General features: G+C 41.6%; 1 protein-coding gene across 6 annotated transcripts in view; it reads right to left on the reverse strand.

The window, feature by feature from the left end:
• Positions 1 to 21,272, reverse strand: part of AGXT2 (alanine--glyoxylate aminotransferase 2) — a 49,848-nt gene that overhangs the window by 12,419 nt on the left and 16,157 nt on the right. For 3 of the 6 annotated variants that reach the window (NM_001438585.1, NM_001438583.1, NM_031900.4), the window contains 4 exons: positions 15,890 to 15,990; positions 15,243 to 15,335; positions 3,467 to 3,599; positions 2,434 to 2,525 (listed from right to left, as the gene is read on the reverse strand). In NM_001438585.1, coding sequence (NP_001425514.1) covers positions 2,434 to 2,525; positions 3,467 to 3,599; positions 15,243 to 15,335; positions 15,890 to 15,990 — 419 coding nt within the window. The remainder of the gene's footprint in view (positions 1 to 2,433; positions 2,526 to 3,466; positions 3,600 to 15,242; positions 15,336 to 15,889; positions 15,991 to 21,272) is intronic. The other 3 variants (NM_001306173.2, NM_001438050.1, NM_001438584.1) reach the window with 2 other exon arrangements.

Consider the following 21,272-nt stretch of genomic DNA (forward strand, 5'->3'; position numbering starts at 1 on the left):
AAAAAAATACAAAAATTAGCAGGGCTCTGTGGGGGGCGCCTGTAGTCCCAGCTATTCGGGAGGCTGAGGCAGGAGAATTGCTTGAATCCGGGAGGAGGAGGTTGCAGTGAGCCAAGATCGCGCCACTGCACTCCAGCCTGGGTGACAGAGCGACACTTTGCCTCAAAAAACAAACAAAAAAGAATTTAGGAAAGAATAAAGGTGTGTCTCAATGCAGTTGAAAATGTAGATTCTGAAATCCCAAGGCTTGTTATTGTCAGGCTTTGCTGAGAACTGGGATATATTTGTGAATAAGATGAATGCTCTGTGGAAAGAAATATCACAGATGGTTTCCCTACTGGAAGATGGTGACCTTTGCTCAGCAGGCCTCAGCCAGACATGGACTCTCATAGCCAAGCAGCCTGGTCTGAGGCTCTGGCCTCTTTGGCTGAGCCCAGAGCCAGGGCACCAGAAGATATAAAAGGATTTTTACCTCAGTTTTACTTACAGCAAACACCTGTGGTTCTTGACAAGATACATGAAATATACTATATTTTTATTTAGCTGACAATAATTGCATGACTCCAGGCAAACCTTGTTATTTTTATAGACCTATTTGTTCACCTAAACCTTCTTGCCTTCTAAATTGGTTGAGGTAACAAAGCACTTTTTAAAAGAAGTTGGCAATGTCAGCTCATGCTTGTAATACCAGCACTTTGGGAGGCTGAGGTGGGTGGATCACTTGAGGTTAGGAGTTTGAGACTAGCTTGGCCAACATGGTGAAACCCCATCTCTACTAAAAATACAAAAGTTAGTTGGGCATGGTGGTGCATGCCTATAATCCCAGCTACTTGGGATGCTGAGGCATGAGAATCGCTTGAACCTGGGAGGCAGAGGTTGCAGTGAGCCAAAGTTGTGCCCCTGCACTCCAGTCTGGGTGACAGAGCAAGACTCTTTCTAAAAAAAAAAAAAAAAAAAAAATTGGCAATGTCTACAAAGTGAAATAAATGACACATTCCTACCCATACTTTCTCATCTCATGACTTAATTGTAGTTGAAAATAACTATTTAATTAATAAAGGCAGTGTTTTCTTATTTATTTTTATTTAAAATTTTTTTGGAATAGGTAAATCAAGTTCATGGTCGAAAATCAGTGAGTGTAACTGCTAGTGGGACTGTAAATTAGTACAACCTCTATGGAAAACAGTATGGAGATTTCTAAAAGAACTAAAAGTAGTTCTATCCTTCGGTCCAGCAATCCCACTTCTGGGTATCTACTCAAAGGAAAAAAAAGCCATTATATCAAAAAGACACCTGCACATATATGTTTATTGTAGTACAACTCACAATTGCAAAGATATGGAACCAACCTAAGAGCCCATCAATTGATGAGTGGATAAAGAAAATGTGGTGTATACACACACACACACACACACACACACACACACACACACACACGCCATGGAATACCACTCAGCCATAAAAAAGAAAATAATGTCTTTCACAGCAACTAATAAGTGTTCTCACTTATAGGTGAGAGCTAAGCTATGGGTACACAATAGACATTGGAGACCCAGAAGCGGGGAAGCTGGGAGGGGGGTGAGGGATGGAAAATTACATATTGGGTACAATGTACACTACTTGGGTGACAGTGCACTAAAGTCTCAGACTTCACCACTATACAATTCATCCATGTAACCAAAACCGACTTGTATCCCAAAAGCTATTGAAATAAATAAATATATATACATATATAAATATATATGTGTATGTATATATATAAATATCAGCAAGTATAAAAGTATATACAGCAGAATGACCCTTGTTGACCCTTGGCCCCCAGCCACCTAGTTTTCCTCCCCACAAAAAAAACCATCATTTACTTCTTAGACATTCTTCCAGAAATTTGTTACAGTTCTTTAAGCAAATGATATTAGGCGTGTTAACAAGAACATTAAAAAAAATCTTTTTTTAAACAGATGCGATCCCAGGCTAAATCAATGGTGTAGGGGTGAACAGCTGAATTACCTTGCTGTAAGCACGTAGAACTCAGTGTCTCCTTAGTCATTCAATTTATAATAGTACAACAAAAGGAAGGAAGAAAAAATACACAAGAGAAGGCCAACATGAAACTAAATACAAGGATAGCAGTTAACATCTATAAATCACTACCAAGATAACAAAGAAATTTCAGCTGGCTAGGAAAATTCTTATATTTCCCATGTATGTGAGGTTTATTATATATTATTTCTTATCCAATACTTTCAGCACCCAAAGTAGGTCTTTAAAAAGGGAGAAGGCAGAATAATAAATGGAAATCTAACTTTAATGGATAAACTATGAATTAACTCTCCCCTTTAACAACTCAGCATGATAGAGTTCTGCTAATGCATGTGTGGTTTTGAAAGAGTCATTTGTGAAATGAGTGAGGTTAATGTGGCCGCTGGAACCAACCTCAAGCACAGCAGATCCAATGGCACAGGCCATGGGGTTCCCTCCAAAGGTGTTGAAGTGCTGCAGGCATTTCGCCAAAGATTTGGCAATCTCTAGAGGGAGAAAATAGAAGGTGTGGAAAGAGGGACACATTCCTGTCCACAATCTCTCATCGCGCCATTTGGACTACAGTTACTTCGTGTTGTAAATGGCATCCAATCCAATTCATCCTTCATTCAACTGATAGTAGATGTTAGGGACTGAATTGTATCGCCTCAAAATTTATATGGCTGAAGCCTTAACCCTGAATAAGACTGTATTTGGAGATAGTGCGTTTAAGTAGGTAATTAGGTTAAATAAGGTCATCAGGGTGGGGCCCTATCTAAGCCCAAGGAACTGGTTTTCTTATAAGAAGAGGAAGAGACACCAGAGCCCTCTCCCACCCCTCTCCTCTTTCCATCTTCTCTCCCTCTTCCATATACCTCAAAAGTGTGGTGGAACCCTGAGTTTCATCATAGGCATGGGAGAATTAGTCTTCCCTACAGGTAGATCAGAATGGGCTGGCTTTCGGATAGGGGTGCAGTGGCTCACGCCTGTAATCCCATCACTTTGGGAGGCCAAGGTCAAACACCTGAGGTCAGGAGTTTGAGACCAGCCTGGCCAACATGGTGAAACTCCGTTTCTACTAAAAATACAAAAATTAGCTGGGCGTGGTGGTGCGCACCTGTAATCGCAGCTACTCAGGAGGCTGAGGCAGGAGAATTGCTTGCACCTGCGGAGGCAGAGGGTGCAATGAGCCAAGATTGTGCCACTGCACTCAAGCCTGGGTGACAGAGCAAGACTCTGTCTCAAAAAAAAAAAAAAAAAAGGGCTGGCTTTCTTCCAACTGTTTCACAGTCAGGCAGACAGACTGTTTCTCTCTTTCATTTGCTTGGGAAATGCATCATGTGGTTTCCATGATTGTCTCCAATCTACACAAGTTCCAACACACGTGTTATACCATAGCCCAATGTACGAGGCCCAGAAGCAAACACAAACTGCCTGTGGGTCCTACCTGGAGTGGTTATGACTGCTGCCATGGGAAAGCCATTCCCAATCCCTTTAGCCATGGTGACAATGTCAGGCAGGACATCGTGGGTTTGGAAGCCCCAGAAGTGAGAGCCCAACCTTCCAAATCCTGTCTGCACCTGGGAAAACAAGTTCAAAACCATTGGAAACCCTTCAAGAAATGCTGTTTTCGACAGGGCGCGGTGGCTCACACCTGTAATCCCAGCACTTTAGGAGGCTGAAGCAGGTGGATCATGAGGTCAGGAGTTCAAGACCAGCCTGGCCAAGATGGTGAAACCCTGTCTCTTCTAAAAATACAAAAAATTAGCCGGGCACAGTGGCAGGTGCCTGTAATCCCAGCTACTCGGGAGGCTGAGACAGGAGAATCGCTTGAACTCGGAGGGCAGAGGCTGCAGTGAGCCGAGATTGCACCACTGCACTCCAGCCTGAGTGACAGGGTGAGACTCCATCTCAAAAAAAAAAAAAAAAAAAAGAAATGCTGTTTTCTTCTCTGTTCTCTTCCCTTTCTTCTTTCTCCTCATCCTCATGATGGCCATCATCAGCCATTATCATGAGCATCCTGTAGTATCATGGACAAAGCGCTTAATTTGTGCCTGAGCTATTAGGCATCAAGAGTCATTTCCTAGCTTTGTGCAATTCTGGGTATGTTTCTTAAGTCCTTGGAACCTCTGCTAACTCATCCGTCAAGTAGAAATACAACAATATGTCACAGGCTCCATGAGGGTCATACAAATATTATGACAGGGATCATTATGATTAACAATCTTTGATGAGCGTTTCCTCTGTGTAAGAAAGCAGGATAGAAAAGTAGAGAAGCTGAGTCTGCCCCAGGATAGATGAAGAGGGAGTTACTGTCAGTCAAGTGGAGCTGGGGCACTTGCTCCAGCCCAGTTAAACTGGTCATCCTCTTCCCAGGGATGCCTTCCCCTTCCTGAGAACTGTATCATGAGGAGGACCCAGACGAGGCAGTTAACTCAGGGTTGAACTCCTCTAATTTAGGAATTGTGGTTTGGACTAAAAGTTGACCTTAGTTTTTTTGTGCATGCTGTTCGCTCTTTCTAGAAGACCCTCTTCTTGCTGCTTTGTCTCACCGACTTCTTCTGTGCTTCAAAACAAACTTTGCCATCACTTGGTTTCTGAAGGTTCTCCTGAGCCTTAGTTAGGCTCCCTCTCAAGGTACTCTGGGAAGGCTGCCATAGAGACTTTCATAGAGGACTGTTATCACCAGTGGGCATGTCCGATGGCAGGGACTGTGTCTTATTCCATTCTGTATCCATAACACCTAGCACAGTGCCTGATACAAAGTAGACACTTAGTAAGCACTTGTGGAATGAATGACAGGGTGGCAGAATTGCCTGATTAAATAAAGCCATACAAACTTCTCCACGCACATTTCTGCCAGAGCCTTTCTGGTGAAGTCTCCTCGATTTCTTTCTGGCTCTCAGTCTCCCTGCCTGTCTCTCTGTCTGTCTGTCTCTCTCCACACATACACAAAATGCAAAATGGGGGTTAGGGATGTGGGCACTAGAAGCCGATTCTGAAATGCACTTAAAAGAGTGAGCTTCCAGGCTGGGCACGGTGGCTCATGCCTGTAATCTCAGCACTTTGGGAGGCCGAGGTGGGTGGATCACCTGAGGTCCGGAGTTTGAGACCAGCCTGGCCAACATGATGAAACCTCATCTCTACTAAAAATACAAAAATTGTCTGAGTGTGGTGGCGGGAGCCTGTAGTCCCAGCTACCTGGGAGGTTGAGGGAGGAGAATCGCTTGAACCTGGGAGGCAGAGGTTGCAGTGAGCCGGGATCATGCCACTGCACTCCAGCCTGGGCAACAGAGTGAGACTCCATCTCAAAAAAAAAAAAAAAAAAAAAAAAGAGTGAGCCTCCTTTTCAGATTCCTTTCTCATTTTCAAGGACAGATTCCAGGGGTTAGAATTAGATGATAGTGACCAGTGTAGGAGAAGAGCTTAACCTGGGAGTCAGACAGACCTGGGCTGGAATCAGAGCTTAATCTGGGAGTCAGACAGACCTGGGCTGGAATCCTGGGTTGCCTCCTTCCTACTAATGAGCCTCTGGGCAGCTGATTGATTTTTCCAAATGGGATAATGTACGAGGAGCTCGTGGAAAATCCATCCATTTTGTCTTCCTGCGTGTCTTTCTTTTTCACTCCATCTAAATACCATACATAAATGGCATAAATGGTGAAAAATCAGATTGCTTGGACAATGTGTAACAGTGAAAAGGAAGCCTAGCATGACTTAATCCATTTTGCTCCTAACCAGCTTGCTCTCATCCTCCCACTGTGATGATGTCTTTTAGGTTAACTGCTTTTGTTTATCTCTGCATATAGGCTAAGCTAACTATGGGAGGAATTTAGTTTATGGTTTAACTTTGAGGCAAGGATGCTTTAAAAAGAATCCCTGAGGAGATAAGAAGGATGAACACACAAGTAACAACATTACATTAAAAATTTATAACAGTATTGTAACCTGACCAAGGATGAAAGTTTATCCTTGCTGCAGCCCAAACGTCTGTGGTCACCAGTCACCTTTTGACCTCAACCCCCTCCCTCTTCCCCTTTCCCTTAACATAAAAGGAACCCACATATGCTTAAGGTGGTTCTTTAGGACATGAGCCTGCCGTCTTCTCGGTTTGCTTGCTCCCCCAAATAAAGTGGTCTTCCTTGCCCCAACATCTTATTGCTTGACTTACTGACTGTTTTGCAGCAAGTGGTACAAGCTTTGGACTCAGTTACAAATGCATGGAATTATGTAAAACCATAAACCATGTTTAGTCACTGAGGAAGTATCAGTTTCATAGACTCTTACAGTAGTACAGAGATGGATCATTCTAAGGTCCACAAACTCAACTGTCTTTGGAGATGAGAAGCATATGTTAGGGACAGAAGCAGGCTGGGTCACAACAGCAAGTGGGGTGGGGACTACGGGTATGCATGTCTTGCAGTCAGTTTCAAATTCAAAATCAGTCTATGCCAATATGGGCCCAGAGGTTTCAGTTTTCTAACTTTAATCCAGATTCCACATTTTAAAGAAAAGAATGCCACTGATTGTTAATTAAGATGACTTGTGTAAGACTGCTCCTTGACAGAACTGGCCCTCTGCACTCAGGTTTTTCTGTCCTCTGTTCCTTCCCTTTCTGCCATGATTTGCCCTTTCTACACCACGCTCTGTCATTTTGGAGGGGCAGCTTGATACGGTGGCTAGTCATGTGGTTTTGGGAGCCTGAGTTTGAGTCTTGGACCTATTCCTACTAACGGCATAAGCTTGACAGGTTGTTTAACCACCTTGGACCTACATTCACTTATATTTAAAATGAGATGATATGGTTTGGCTGTGTCCCCACCCAAATCTCATCATGAATTGTAGCTCCCATAATTCCCACGTGTTGTGGGAGGGACCTGATGGGAGATAATTGAATCATGGGGGTGGTTCCCCCATACTGTTCTCATGGTGGTGAATAAGTCTCACAAGATCTGATGGTTTTATAAGGGGAAACCCTTTTTGCTTGACTCTCATTGTCTCTTGTCTGCTACCATGTAAGATGTGCCTTCTGCATTCCGCCATGATTGTTAGGCCTCCCCAACCACATGGAACTCTGTCCTTTAAACCTCTTTTTCTTAAACTGGAAACTCTAAAAAGCAGAGCACCTCTCCTCCTCCAAAGGAACGCAGTTCCTCACCAGTAACGGAACAAAGCTGGACGGAGAATGACTTTGACGAGTTGAGAGAAGAAGGCTTCAGACGATCAAATTACTCCAAGCTATGAGAGGACATTCAAACCAAAGGCAAAGAAGTTGAAAACTTTGAAAAAAATTTAGAAGAATGTATATCTAGAATAACCAATAAAGAGAAGTGCTTAAAGGAGCTGATGGAGCTGAAAACCAAGGCTCGAGAACTACGTGAAGAATGCAGAAGCCTCCGGAGCTGATGAGATCAACTGGAAGAAAGGGTATCAGCGATGGAAGGTGAAATGAATGAAATGAAGACAGAAGGGAAGTTTAGAGAAAAAAGAATAAAAAGAAACGAGCAAAGCCTCCAAGAAATATGGGACTATGTGAAAAGACCAAATCTACGTCTGATTGGTGTACCTGAAAGTGACAGGGAGAATGGAACCAAGTTGGAGAACACTCTGCAGGATATTATCCAGGAGAACTTCCCCAATCTAGCAAGGCAGGCCAACATTCAGATTCAGGAAATACAGAGAATGTCACAAAGATACTCCTTGAGAAGAGCAACTCCAAGACACACAATTGTCAGATTCATCAAAGTTGAAATGAAGGAAAAAATGTTAAAGGCAGCAAGAGAGAAAGGTCAGGTTACCCTCAAAGGGAAGCCCATCAGACTAACAGCAGATCTATCGGCAGAAACTCTACAAGCCAGAAGAGAGTGGGGGCCAATATTCAACGTTCTTAAAGAAAAGAATTTTAAACCCAGAATTTCATATCCAGCCAAGCTAAGCTTCATAAGTGAAAGAGAAATAAAATACTTTACAAACAAGCAAATGCTGAGAGATTTTGTCACCACCAGGCCTGCCCTAAAAGAGCTCCTGAAGGAAGCACTAAACATGGAAAGGAACAACTGGTACCAGCTGCTGCAAAATCATGCCAAAATGTAAAGACCATCGAGACTAGGAAGAAACTGCATCAACTAACGAGCAAAATAACCAGCTAACATCATAATGACAGGATCAAATTCACACATAACAATATTAACTTTAAATGTAAATGGACTAAATGCTCCAATTAAAAGACACAGACTGGCAAATTGGATAAAGAGTCAAGACCCATCAGTGTGCTGTATTCAGGAAACCCATCTCACGTGCAGAGACACACATAGGCTCAAAATAAAAGGATGGAGGAAGATCTACCAAGCAAATAGAAAACAAAAAAAGGCAGGGGTTGCAATCCTAGTCTCTGATAAAACAGGCTTTAAACCAACAAAGATCAAAAGAGACAAAGAAGACCATTACATAATGGTAAAGGGATCAATTCAACAACAAGAGCTAACTATCCTAAATATATATGCACCCAATACAGGAGCACCCAGATTCATAAAGCAAGTCCTGAGTGACCTACAAAGAGACTTAGACTCCCACACATTAATAATGGGAGACTTTAACACCCCACTGTCAACATTAGACAGATCAATGAGACAGAAAGTCAACAAGGATACCCAGGAATTGAACTCAGCTCTGCACCAAGCGGACCTAATAGACATCTACAGAACTCTCCACCCCAAATCAACAGAATATACATTTTTTTCAGCACCACACCACACCTATTCAAAAATTGACCACATACTTGGAAGTAAAGCTCTCCTCAGCAAATGTAAAAGAACAGAAATTATAACAAACTATCTCTCAGACCACAGTGCAATCAAACTAGAACTCAGGATTAAGAATCTCACTCAAAACCGCTCAACTACATGGAAACTGAACAACCTGCTCCTGAATGACTACTGGGTACATAACGAAATGAAGGCAGAAATAAAGATGTTCTTTGAAACCATTGAGAACAAAGACAAAACATACCAGAATCTCTGGGACGCATTCAAAGCAGTGTGTAGAGGGAAACTTATAGCACTAAATGCCCACAAGAGAAAGCAGGAAAGATCCAAAATTGACACCCTAACATCACAATTAAAAGAACTAGAAAAGCAAGAGAAAACACATTCAAAAGCTAGAAGAAGGCAAGAAATAACTAAAATCAACAGAACTGAAGGAAATAGAGACACAAAAAACCCTTCAAAAAATTAATGAATCCAGGAGCTGGTTTTCTGAAAGGATCAACAAAATTGATAGACCACTAGCAAGACTAATAAAGAAAAAAAGAGAGAAGAATCAAATAGATGCAATAAAAAATGATAAAGGGGATATCACCACTGATCCCACAGAAATACAAACTACCATCAGAGAATACTACAACCACCTCTATGCAAATAAACTAGAAAATCTAGAAGAAATGGATAAATTCCTCAACACATACACTCTCCCAAGACTAAACCAGGAAGAAATTGAATCTCTGAATAGACCAATAACAGGATCTGAAATTGTGGCAATAATCAATAGCTTACCAACCAAAAAGAGTCCAGGACCAGAAGGATTCACAGCGGAATTCTACCAGAGGTACAAGGAGGAACTGGTACCATTCCTTCTGAAACTATTCCAATCAACAGAAAAAGAGGGAATCCTCCCTAACTCATTTTATGAGGCCAGCATCATCCTGATACCAAAGCCGGGCAGAGACACAACCAAAAAAGAGAATTTCAGACCAATATCCTTGATGAACATTGATGCAAAAATCCTCAATAAAATACTGGCAAAACGAATCCAGCAGCACATCAAAAAGCTTATCCACCATGATCAAGAGGGCTTCATCCCTGGGATGCAAGGCTGGTTCAATATATGCAAATCAATAAATGTAATCCAGCATATAAGCAGAACCAAAGACAAAAACCACATGATTATCTCAATAGATGCAGAAAAGGCCTTTGACAAAATTCAACAACCCTTCATGCTAAAAACTCTCAATAAATTAGGTATTGATGGGACGTATTTCAAAATAATAAGAGGTATCTATGACAAACCCACAGCCAATATCATACTGAATGGGCAAAAACTGGAAGCATTCCCTTTGAAAACTGGCATAAGACAGGGATGCCCTCGCTCACCACTCCTATTCAACATAGTGTTGGAAGTTCTGGCCAGGGCAATTAGGTAGGAGAAGGAAATAAAGGGTATTCAATAGGAAAAGAGGAAGTCAAATTGTCCCTGTTTGCAGACGACATGATTGTATATCTAGAAAACCCCATTGTCTCAGCCCAAAATCTCCTTAAGCTGATAAGCAACTTCAGCAAAGTCTCAGGATACAAAATCAATGTACAAAAATCACAAGCATTCTTATACACCAATAACAGACAAACAGAGAGCCAAATCATGAGTGAATTCCCATTCACAATTGCTTCAAAGAGAATAAAATACCTAGGAGTCCAACTTACAAGGGATGTGAAGGACCTCTTCAAGGAGAACTACAAACCACTGCTCAAGGAAATAAAAGAAGATACAAACAAATGGAAGAATATTCCATGCTCATGGGCAGGAAGAATCAATATCGTGAAAATGGCCACACTGCCCAAGGTAATTTACAGATTCAATGCCATCCCCATCAAGCTACCAATGACTTTCTTCACAGAATTGAAAAAACTACTTCAAAGTTCATATGGAACCAAAGAAGAGCCCGCTTCGCCAAGTGAATCCTAAGCCAAAAGAACAAAGCTGGAGGCATCACACTACCTGACTTCAAACTATACTACAAGGCTACAGTAACCAAAACAGCATGGTACTGGTACCAAAACAGAGATATAGATCAATGGAACAGAACAGAGCCCTCAGAAATAATGCTGCATATCTACAACTATCTGATCTTTGACAAACCTGAGAAAAACAAGCAATGGGGAAAGGATTCCCTATTTAATAAATGGTGCTGGGAAAACTGGCTAGCCATATGTAGAAAGCTGAAACTGGATCCCTTCCTTACACCTTATACAAAAATCAATTCAAGATGGATTAAAGACTTAAACGTTAGACCTAAAACCATAAAAACCCTAGAAGAAAACCTAGGCATTACCATTCAGGACACAGGCATGGGCAAGGACTTCATGTCTAAAACGCCAAAAGCAATGGCAACAAAAGCCAAAATTGACAAATGGGATCTAATTAAACTAAAGAGCTTCTGCACAGCAAAAGAAACTACCATCAGAGTGAACAGGCAACCTACAAAACGGGAGAAAATTTTCGCAACCTACTCATCTGACAAAGGGCTAATATCCAGAATCTACAATGAACTCTAACAAATTTACAAGAAAAAAACAAACTACCCCATCAACAATTGGGTGAAGGATATGAACAGACACTTCTCAAAAGAAGACATTTATGCAGCCAACAAACACATGAAAAAATGCTCATCATCACTGGCCATCAGAGAAATGCAAATCAAAACCACAATGAGATACCATCTCACACCAGTTAGAATGGTGATCATTAAAAAGTCAGGAAACAACAGGTGCTGGAGAGGATGTGGAGAAATAGGAACACTTTTACACTGTTGGTGGGACTGTAAACTAGTTCAACCATTGTGGAAGTCAGTGTGGTGATTCCTCAGGGATCTAGAACTAGAAATACCATTGACCCAGCCATCCCATTACTGGGTATATACCCAAAGGACTATAAATCACGCTGCTATAAAGACACATGCACACGTATGTTTATTGTGGCACTATTCACAATAGCAAAGACTTGGAACCAACCCAAATGTCCAACAATGATAGACTGGATTAAGAAAATGTGGCACATATACACCATGGAATACTATGCAGCCATAAAAAATGATGAGTTCATGTCCTTTGAAGGGACATGGATGAAATTGGAAATAATCATTCTCAGTAAAATATCGCAAGAACAAAAAACCAAGCACCGCATATTCTCACTCATAGGTGGGAATTGAACAATGAGAACACGTGGACACAGGAAGGGGAGCATCACAGTCTAGGGACTGTTGTGGGGTGGGGGGAGGGGGGAGGGATAGCATTGGGACATATGCCTAATGCTAGATGACGAGTTAGTGGGTGCAGCGCACCAGCATGGCACATGTATACATATGCAACTAACCTGCACATTGTGCACATGTACCCTAAAACTTAAAGTATAATAATAATAAATAAAAAGAGAGAAGTAAAAAAAAAAAAAAAGGAAAAGAAAAGAAAAAGCACAAGGAAAACCTAGAGCCCTTCCCTTTAGAATATGCTATAATATTAACCAAGTACCAGAGGGAGACAGAACTCTGATAATATTGTTTTTCTTCTACATTTTTCTATGAAGAATACTGTAAACTAGAAAAGGCAGAGTAGTAATTGACGCCCAAAAAGGGAAAGTTAGCATAAAAGAGTCTTGGTGATTTCAATCACTGGCTCCTAAATGTTTGTCTTCTGCAAATTTTTTTTTTTAATTAGTGAGTTTACTTTACAAAACTATTTTCAATTTAAAAGAGTGCCTTTTATTCCGATATTGTTTTATTCATTTGTTTGTATAGGTTTCACATATTCTTTGTCTTATTTGCTTCATTTTTAATAAAATTGTGGTGATGGCAGATGTAAAAAAAAAAAGAAAAAAGAAAAAAGAAAAAAGAAAAACCTCTTTTTCTTTATAAATTACCCAGTCTCAGGTATTTCTTTATCAGCAGCATGAGAAAGGACTAATACGTGGGAACAGCAGCAACAGGGCATACTATAGAACAGTTGATAGGTATGAACTGAGTTAACACATGCAAAGTGTTATGAACAGTGTCTGACACATAGCAGGTACTCAGAGAGTTCCAGCTATTCTTATTTTTACCTAGTCCTCGCGATAGTCCTTCTTGAGGATTGCCTGTGTTAGATAGTTTTCAATTACATTGTTTGAAAGTCATAAAACCACAAGACAGAAAATTTTGAAATTCATATTTCCTTTGAATTCAGCCTACCTTCTCTTTAATTAGTCTGACTGTGACAGCTTCACTATGTGCTGATTTGGAGGCCAAAGTTTATCCTTTTTACTGATGTAGCTAATTTCAAGCTGACTGGATATACTCATTTTTTTAAAGTAGCAGATTAACTTTCTCCAGCCTGGACTTCGATCAGTTTGTGGGCAGATTGGAGAAGGGAGGATGGTCTCAGCAGGAGCAGGCTGGCCCAAGTTGCCTGTGGTACACCAGGGACATCCAATACACCTGGGCATAACAGAGACCCAGCTGCCCAGGCAGAAATTGCAAAATTTCTGCTGATGTGACAGCTCAGTGTCAGCTGTAGGGAATATTTATTTATTTATTTATTTATTTATTTATTTATTTATTTATTTATTTTGAGATGGAGTTTTGCTCCGTTGCCCAGGCTGGAGTGCAATGGCATGATCTTGGCTCATTGCAACCTCCACCTCCTGGGTTCAAACATTCTCCTGCGTCAGCGTCCTGAGCAGCTGGGATTACAGGCATGCACTACCACACCCAGCTACTTTTTGTATTTTTAGTACAGATGGTGTTTCACCATGTTGGCTGGGCTGGTTTTGAACTCCTGACCTCAAGTGACCGGCCTGCCTCAGCATCCCAAAGTGCTGGGATGACAGATGTGAGCCACTGCGCCCAACCTAGCTGTAGGAAATTTTTAGTTGAGGAAGTCTATTCCAGCAATGATGGCTGGACAGAAATAGGTGTGAAACATACTTACAGGTTCTCCACCTGTCCTTGGCTGGTCTAACCACCTGTTAGTCCAATCATGATAGTCACCCAGCAGTGAGACATGGCTTCGGTGGCCCTAGTGATCATCCTCTGGTCTTTTAATCTCCATAGCTACTCTCAGTAGACAGAGGACTGCTTTATTTGATACACTCTAATATGAGGTGTGATTATAAGTAAATTAATCCCTTTTGAAAACACACAGGCTAGAGCTCACATAGCCAACGAATTTTCTTCCCATTAAAGTAATGCCCTTGGGAGTAGTGTGCTTTAATGCTTTAATGCTGCTTTAATTCAACCTATTTTACAATTTTTGGGGAACTATTTTCAAATGCAGTACCTGCAGTTGGTGGTACTCCTCTAATTTAGAGGCTGGATTATTATTATTATTTTAAAAACATTATTTCGGCCAGGCGCGGTGGCTCATGCCTGTAAACCCAGCACTTTGGGACGCCAAGGTGGGCAGATCACCTGAGGTCAGGAGTTCGAGACCAGCCTGACCAACACGGAGAAACCCCAGTCTCTACTAAAAAATACAAAACTAGCCGGGTGTGGTGGCGGATGCCTGTAATCCCAGCTACTCGGGAGGCTGAGGCAGGAGAATCACTTGAACCTGGGAGGCAGAGGCTGTGGTGAGCTGAGATTGCACCACTGCACTCCAGCCTGGGCAACAAGAAAGAAATTCTGTCTCAAAAAGAAACAAACAAACAAAAAAACCCACATTATTTCCAGGCAAGTTTTGTCAGAAAGGTATATGCTGCCAGGTTGGTAAATACTATTTTTGCAAAAATAAAGATTAAAAACTTGGCTATCAGGCCTGGCACGGTGGCTCACGTCTCTAATGCCAGTACTTTGGGAGGCCAAGGCGGGCGGATCACTTGAGGTCAGGAATTCAAGATCAGCCTGGCCAACATGGTGAAACCCTGTCTTTACTAAAAATACAAAAATTAGTCAGGCTTGGTGGCACATGCCTGTGGTCCCAGCTACTCGGGAGGCTGTGGCAGAAGAATCCCTTGAACCCCAGGAGGCGGAGGTTGCGGTGAGTCGAGATTGTACCACTGTACTTCAGCCTGGATGACAGAGCGAGACTTTGTCTCAAAATAACCAAACAAATAAAAACAACAAAAACCTTGGCTATGAGATTAAATTTCCTATGATGTTTGTCAGCCCCTGAAACAATCCCTAGAAAGGAATTAAAAAAATATATTGAGTCACGGTCTAATAACATCACATATGGCTGTTAGCAACTTATTTGATAGACATCAATTTGGAGATTTAAGTTCTGTTATACTTGTTAAACTGATCAGCGAATGTACTAACAAATCAACCAGCCCACTAGCACAAATTTCATTCATTTGTAGGCAAACTTTGGAATTCACAGAGCAGAGGCTTTCTGCCTGGAACACAGAGGAAGTTTAGGAGGTTTCTGTCTGTGCATCTCCTGTTCCCACTGCACTCAATGGCACCCTTACATGCCACTTACTTCATCTGCAATGCACACGCCTCCCCTTGCTCGCACCAGCTCAAAGGCTTCCTTTAGAAACCCCTTTGGGTACTGGACAACTCCATTCACACCCTGCAAAAGACCAGACCAAGAAGACCTATAATAATAGCATCAGCCCTTTCAAAGTATATAAAAAAGTTAGATCATCATTATCATCATTATCATGACAGTAACACTAGCAATTTTAACAACAGTCTGTAGAACAGTTTCCACTGTGGGTGAAAAGAGGACTTATTACTCTATACCATGACTTCTGGAAAAAAGATGCAAACATTGATTATTTTCTGAGATTAGAAAACAGTAGAATAAAAGAAATTGGTGAGACTAAAGAAAGAGTTCTTTGGACAATGCGGATGTTATTAAGCAGCTAAAAATGGCCAGGGTTTCCTCTTCTTAAGAATTTTAGGAGTTCGGTAGTTTCATCTGTCTGGTGAGAATGGAGGAGAGGGTTTTTAAAAGGTCATTTGAAAGTCAGCGTCTTCTTTTTTCAAGGAGACCAAGAGAATGAATTTAGAGAGGGACACAGTGAGCACTTAATTCATTTGGAATTCTCTAGAATATATGAGTTAAAACTTTCTGATAATTGAAGATTCAGCTCCATTAATGTCTAAGGTTCATATACCCACTTGAATAGGTTCTGCGAAAAATCCAGCAATTGACTTGGCCACAGATGTGCTCAGCGTATCTTTGAATTGCTCAATATACTGATCTTTAGCTTGGCAGCAGTCTGCAAAAAGCAAACAACAAAACAAAACAAACCACAGCATTTGAAAATGTGAGCCTGATATTTAGAAACATGGGGAAAAACAGGAAAAAAAAAAAACAACCAGACAGGGTAAGTTAATCAGGGACTTCAGAATACGGTAAACTGGGGTGAGGATATGCATTTCTGAAGGGGGAATGTTCTCTCTGAACAACTTGTACTTTGGTTCAAGGAGGGAGATTAAGATAGCCATAAAGGCATAAACAAACCACTTCAGTTCTTTCCATCTGGGGAAGAAACGTCCCAAAGTGTCATTGAGCTGGTATAGATAGCTGTTTCACCTAAGGATGCCCGTCCTCTCAAACAGGTGGATCTAATTCAAATGTAATTAGAGCGATTTAATTTATTTGAAAATAACTCTATTTACCTTTCATTGCCATTTAATCTGATGTACCGTTTTAAAGCTACAAAGTGTCTTTGTCTTTAGAGTTAGTAAATATGCTTGTAGAACAATTAGAATTCAGTCTAAAGAGAAATGTTCGAGAGCTAGGTGGCTTCCATCCATCGCAGCCCTTGGCACTTGGTCCTGTGCTTGTTTTTAACAGGACTTTCTCCGATTAATCAGGAGGTTTTTGTGGGCAGGGACTATACTTTGTTCATTTCTAAAATCTCTGTGGCCAGGCAAGCTGTTTGGTACACTGTAGGTGGTGCTCAGTAAATGTTTAACGCATTAAGAAGAAAATATTAACAAATAGTAGAAATCATGGCTGGAGTGAGACATTGAGCAATTTTGCTTGAAGGCCTTTCTTTCTTTCTTTCTTTTTGGAGATCTTTCTAATGGGGAAAAGCAGTAAAGTGTCCTTGTTGAAGTGATCTGTCTTTAATTCATTACTTCTCCTTTTGGCTGCATCTTACTGCTGATAAACCCACATGCTGAGTTTTAAATTTCAATAATCACTTTTATATTACTAGAAGGCATATTTGCTTTTAAAACTTGCTTTCTTATTCTTCACAGTGTCCTATCCCTTTCGCATATTTTCAAGCTTATATTTGATTTTCTTTAAATGTATTAAACATATTCATTTTATAGCCTATCTGATAATTCTGTTATTTGAAATCCTTGCTGATCTTTTTCTTGATTGCGGAGTTTTGTGTATTGTATATTTATTTTTGACAAGGGGCAGTTTATTTTCCTTGGAATTTCATTTGTGAGAATTCTTTGAGGCCCAGAATGAGGTAGATCCCTCCAGAGCCTATCTGAGTTTGCAGCTTCCAAGTGCGTAGGGCATTAGAGTCTAAGAGTCCTTTAAATTATGAGCTTGAGGAAGTGAGCGTTCACAATGCAAAGCCTTGGAGGGCCAGTCTGCAGGTGAAACTTTCAGTGGTGGCTCCTCCCAGTCCCTCCACTTCCATTCAGCACCAGAATCCTTGCAGGCCCTTTGGCCTGTGAGGGGTAATATGTTCTTGGTGGTGTATTTAATTCTAGTTGACCCATGGATGAAGATGTGGCCTCTTGGGGGCTCCAGCTTTGTGGCAGGGGAGGGTTTCCTATAAGATCCCTTACTTTGGCTGGGCCCTGGACTTCGTCATCTCTTCCCTGCACTCCACAGAGCCATCAACATGGAAGCTCAAGGTTACCAGGTTCAAGAAATTCTCTCAGGGTCAAAGGGGGCTGCAGTGCCGTAATGATCTATTTGCGTTTCTGAGAATTCGTGCTTTCTTGTATCCATGCTTTGAAGGGAATGCATTTCATTTTATCCAGGATTTTTTAGTTGTTTTCCACTGGAGAAAACCCAGGCTATCATGTTACCAGTACTAGCTGTCCATCCAGCTCAGTTTTCTTAGCACTAACCATGTCTACTTTCTAATCCTGCTTAAAGATACTAGAAACATTTCTGCCATGCTTCACTAGCTGCAAGCCTCACCACACAGACACACAGGCATGAAATCCTGTGGATGGGAGAGGACTAGAGATGAGTGGGAAGATTGCCCAGCAGACTTGCCCAAGCTCCAGAAGCCTTCATCTGTGTGTCAGAATTGGAAGTGGGAATCACCAAGGAAGCAGGAAAGGTGAGAGAGAGAGAGAGAGAGAGAGAGAGAGAGAGAGAGAGAGAGAGAGAGAGAGAGAGAGAGAAATTCTTCTACTCTGGAATAACAAAGGTCCCAGGTCAACTGTATCCATACATGACTGAATCTTCAGAATTTTTATCCACACCTGTTATTTGGTTCTAAACAGTACCATGCAGTCTCTGAACTTAAATTTATATCCATAGATGACCAAAGGAGTGCAGAGAAAGATGTGGAAGGGATGGAAAGCCTCAACCCGAGTGACAGTGAAAGCAGTGTGGGACAGGGCTCCCCACCTACCATCCCAGTGCTTGCTTAGAGGCATGGATGCAGTGCTGTCTCCACGGTGCTAGACAGAAGGAACAGAAACCTTCTGCAATCACCATCAAAACCGAATTTTATACCTCAGCTCTTCATTAAAAGTGAGGAAATACTAGCTGGCCCCAAACATATTTTTAGATTACATGTGATATTCGGAAAAGTTTGATTGACAGAGGTACCTGATATCTTTGGTTAGCTGGAGGTTGGAGGTTAAGGGTGTGAGAAAGGAAGAAATGACAAGTATATGAAACCCTGAAAATATGTTTTTGGCATCACTTGTGTTGTTTTGATGAGAAGAATATAGTAGACAAATAAATCTATGCCTCTAGAGACAGAAATTTCCCGTTTTTATTGGGAAAGGAAGAGAAAACAGCTTCAGATGACCCTAAAAGATGGATCAGACCTATGTTCAAGAGAAGTAATTTGGAAATTTAACAAGCCCATTTGTAACTGGAGAAATCAAAGAGTGGAGCTTAAATTTGGGCAGAACCAAACCAAAAGGTTTTGCCTGAACCTATGCTAGACCTTTCATGACTTTTTTCCCTCTCTGCCCACATGCTCAGCGATGAGAGAGTCATTGACTGTGATGAGCTTTTTACTTTATTTCGCACTAGCTGCATTGACTCATTGATGTAACCCTAGGTTAGGCCACTTCTGCAGAGGCTTGGCAGGAAGAAAACCCCAAGCGGGTGGAGACAGGATGTTCTGTTGGATACTACAACAGGATGACGAAGGAAGAATTTATTCCAGCTAGTGGTACAGAAAGAGTTAAGCTGAGTGAGGAGCCAAGAAAGAACTACAATTTTTAAGAAAAACAAAACTTGCCTTTCAAAAGAAGAAGAATGACATGATCAGTACGAGGTTTGGAACATTGTGGGGGCAGTAGGTGATGAGGAGTGAATCTCGTCATGGATTACACTTGAAACTCAGGGCCTGGAATGAACCCCTGGGGAAAAAATCCTGGGAGGTAGATGGAGTAGGACAAATAAATATACCATATAAACATCTAGATTAGACTCACAAAATGGCCCCCTGCCTCTGTTGGGAGGGATGACATATTTCTGAGATGAGAAAAATCTCTACCATGGTTGGTGCCTCAATTCCTCTTAAGGTATTCCTATCAATAGGTTAAGAGGAATTGAGAACAGGCAACATCTATAGTCAAAGAACTGTACATGTTTGGATGCTTTTGTAAACATATATGAATATTCCAGTTTTACAGCAAAGACCAAACCCTTCCCAGGTCCTAAAGGCAGTGAAGGAGACTGGGGTCTTTCTTTTGTATTCCAATCCTGTTCAAAGATTCCATAAATAGTCTTGTCCCTTGAAGATGTGAGTTAAGAAAACAGCTGGCCGGGCATGGTGGCTCACGCATGTGATCCCAGCACTTTGGGAGGCCAAGGCGAGCGGATCACCTGAAGTCAGGAGTTCGAGACCAGCCTGGCCAACATGGTGAAACCCGGTCTCTACTAAAAATACAAAAATTAGCTGGGCGTGGTGGCAGGCACCTGTAATCCCCGCTACTCGGGAAGCTGAGGCAGGAGAATCGCTTGAACCCGGGAGGCGGAGGTTGCAGTGAGCCGAGATCGCGCCATTGCACTCCAGTCTGGGGGACAAGAGTGAGACTTTGTCTCAAAAAAAAAAATACATAAATAAAAAAGAAAACAACTGACTTCAGATATGCCAAAGGCAACAGTTCAGAGCAGAAATGTACGCCTGTCACTATCATTTAGCCTCTAGATGCCACTAGAGAGATGACCATGGATTTCTGGTATTGTCAAATTGGCTTAAGTAGTCCTATAGAAGGCCTTATAGTAGGCTTGTGTCTCTTCTATGTGGAAAGAGGAACATATAGCAGGAAAAGAAGGAAATGACCACCTTTTAGTGCTTCCGTCTACTAGGCTCTGTGCTGGTGGTTTTGCAGTCAGACCAGGGTCTGGGAGGTGCATCAAACTGATTTTAGTTCTTGATGCCTTACAGATGCAATATTCAAATACGGCTTTACCAGGCATTGCTATGGTCTGTTTTTCTCTACAAAAGTTCTCCGTGCCTCATCTCATGAAGTGCCGTGATGGTGTTGGCAGCAGCCAGATATTGCTGTCTCTGTTTTACAAATGAGAAAACTGAAGCAAAAGGTGAAGCTTTTGCTCATAGCTGAACCATGCCAGGGCTGAGAGTGGAATCCATCTCTTGACTTCATGCAGCTCCTCAGTCCTGGCCTGTGGAATAGGAATGCTTTTTCAGCTTGGGTTTATCTTGACGGCACATCAGTGTGGATGAGGATGGCTATAGGAATTGGGAGCACTGGCTTTGGAGTCAGAAGACCTGGGGTAAAATCTTAGCTCTCCAGTCTCCTCCATGTGAAACTGGCTTTCCTGATGTTTAAAGTGGAGAGTTTGATTTATAGCTTTACATTTCCTTCTGGTTTTAAATTCCATGAGCGTGACATCTTGTCTTCTTTCACTACTTACTCTTTCATTCTCTTACCTCCATTTTGCTATTATGTCATCTGAATTTTAAGACGATGGTGAATTTTTTTCCTTTCAGAGCTGGTTTTTAAGACTTCTGTTTTGTATTTTTCCTCTCAACCCAGTGATTCATACTATTCCATTAAAAATCACTGGGCTGAAGCATTTAGTTATTTCCTTCAGAAGTACTAAGGAGCGGCTATTAAAAAGGTTGTGATGACAAATCAGAGGCAGGGCTTGTTGATTAGCAAGGAACAGATGATGTTTCCTGCCTCCTCTCCCTCCTGTTAAGCGTAGGTAAAGAATGCGAATAAAAATGTGATTGGTAAATGGAAGTTCTCCTTGTGAGAAAGCCTTTAAAACTTTTGCCAGGGTTGTCAGCAGCCTGTAGGAAGGGCAGCCTTGTGTTTTGTTTGACGGATGCTCTCATTTTGGCTGGCAGTCCCTGGA

This window comes from Homo sapiens, chromosome 5, assembly GCF_000001405.40.
Source record: "Homo sapiens chromosome 5, GRCh38.p14 Primary Assembly".
Lineage (NCBI taxonomy): Eukaryota > Metazoa > Chordata > Mammalia > Primates > Hominidae > Homo > Homo sapiens.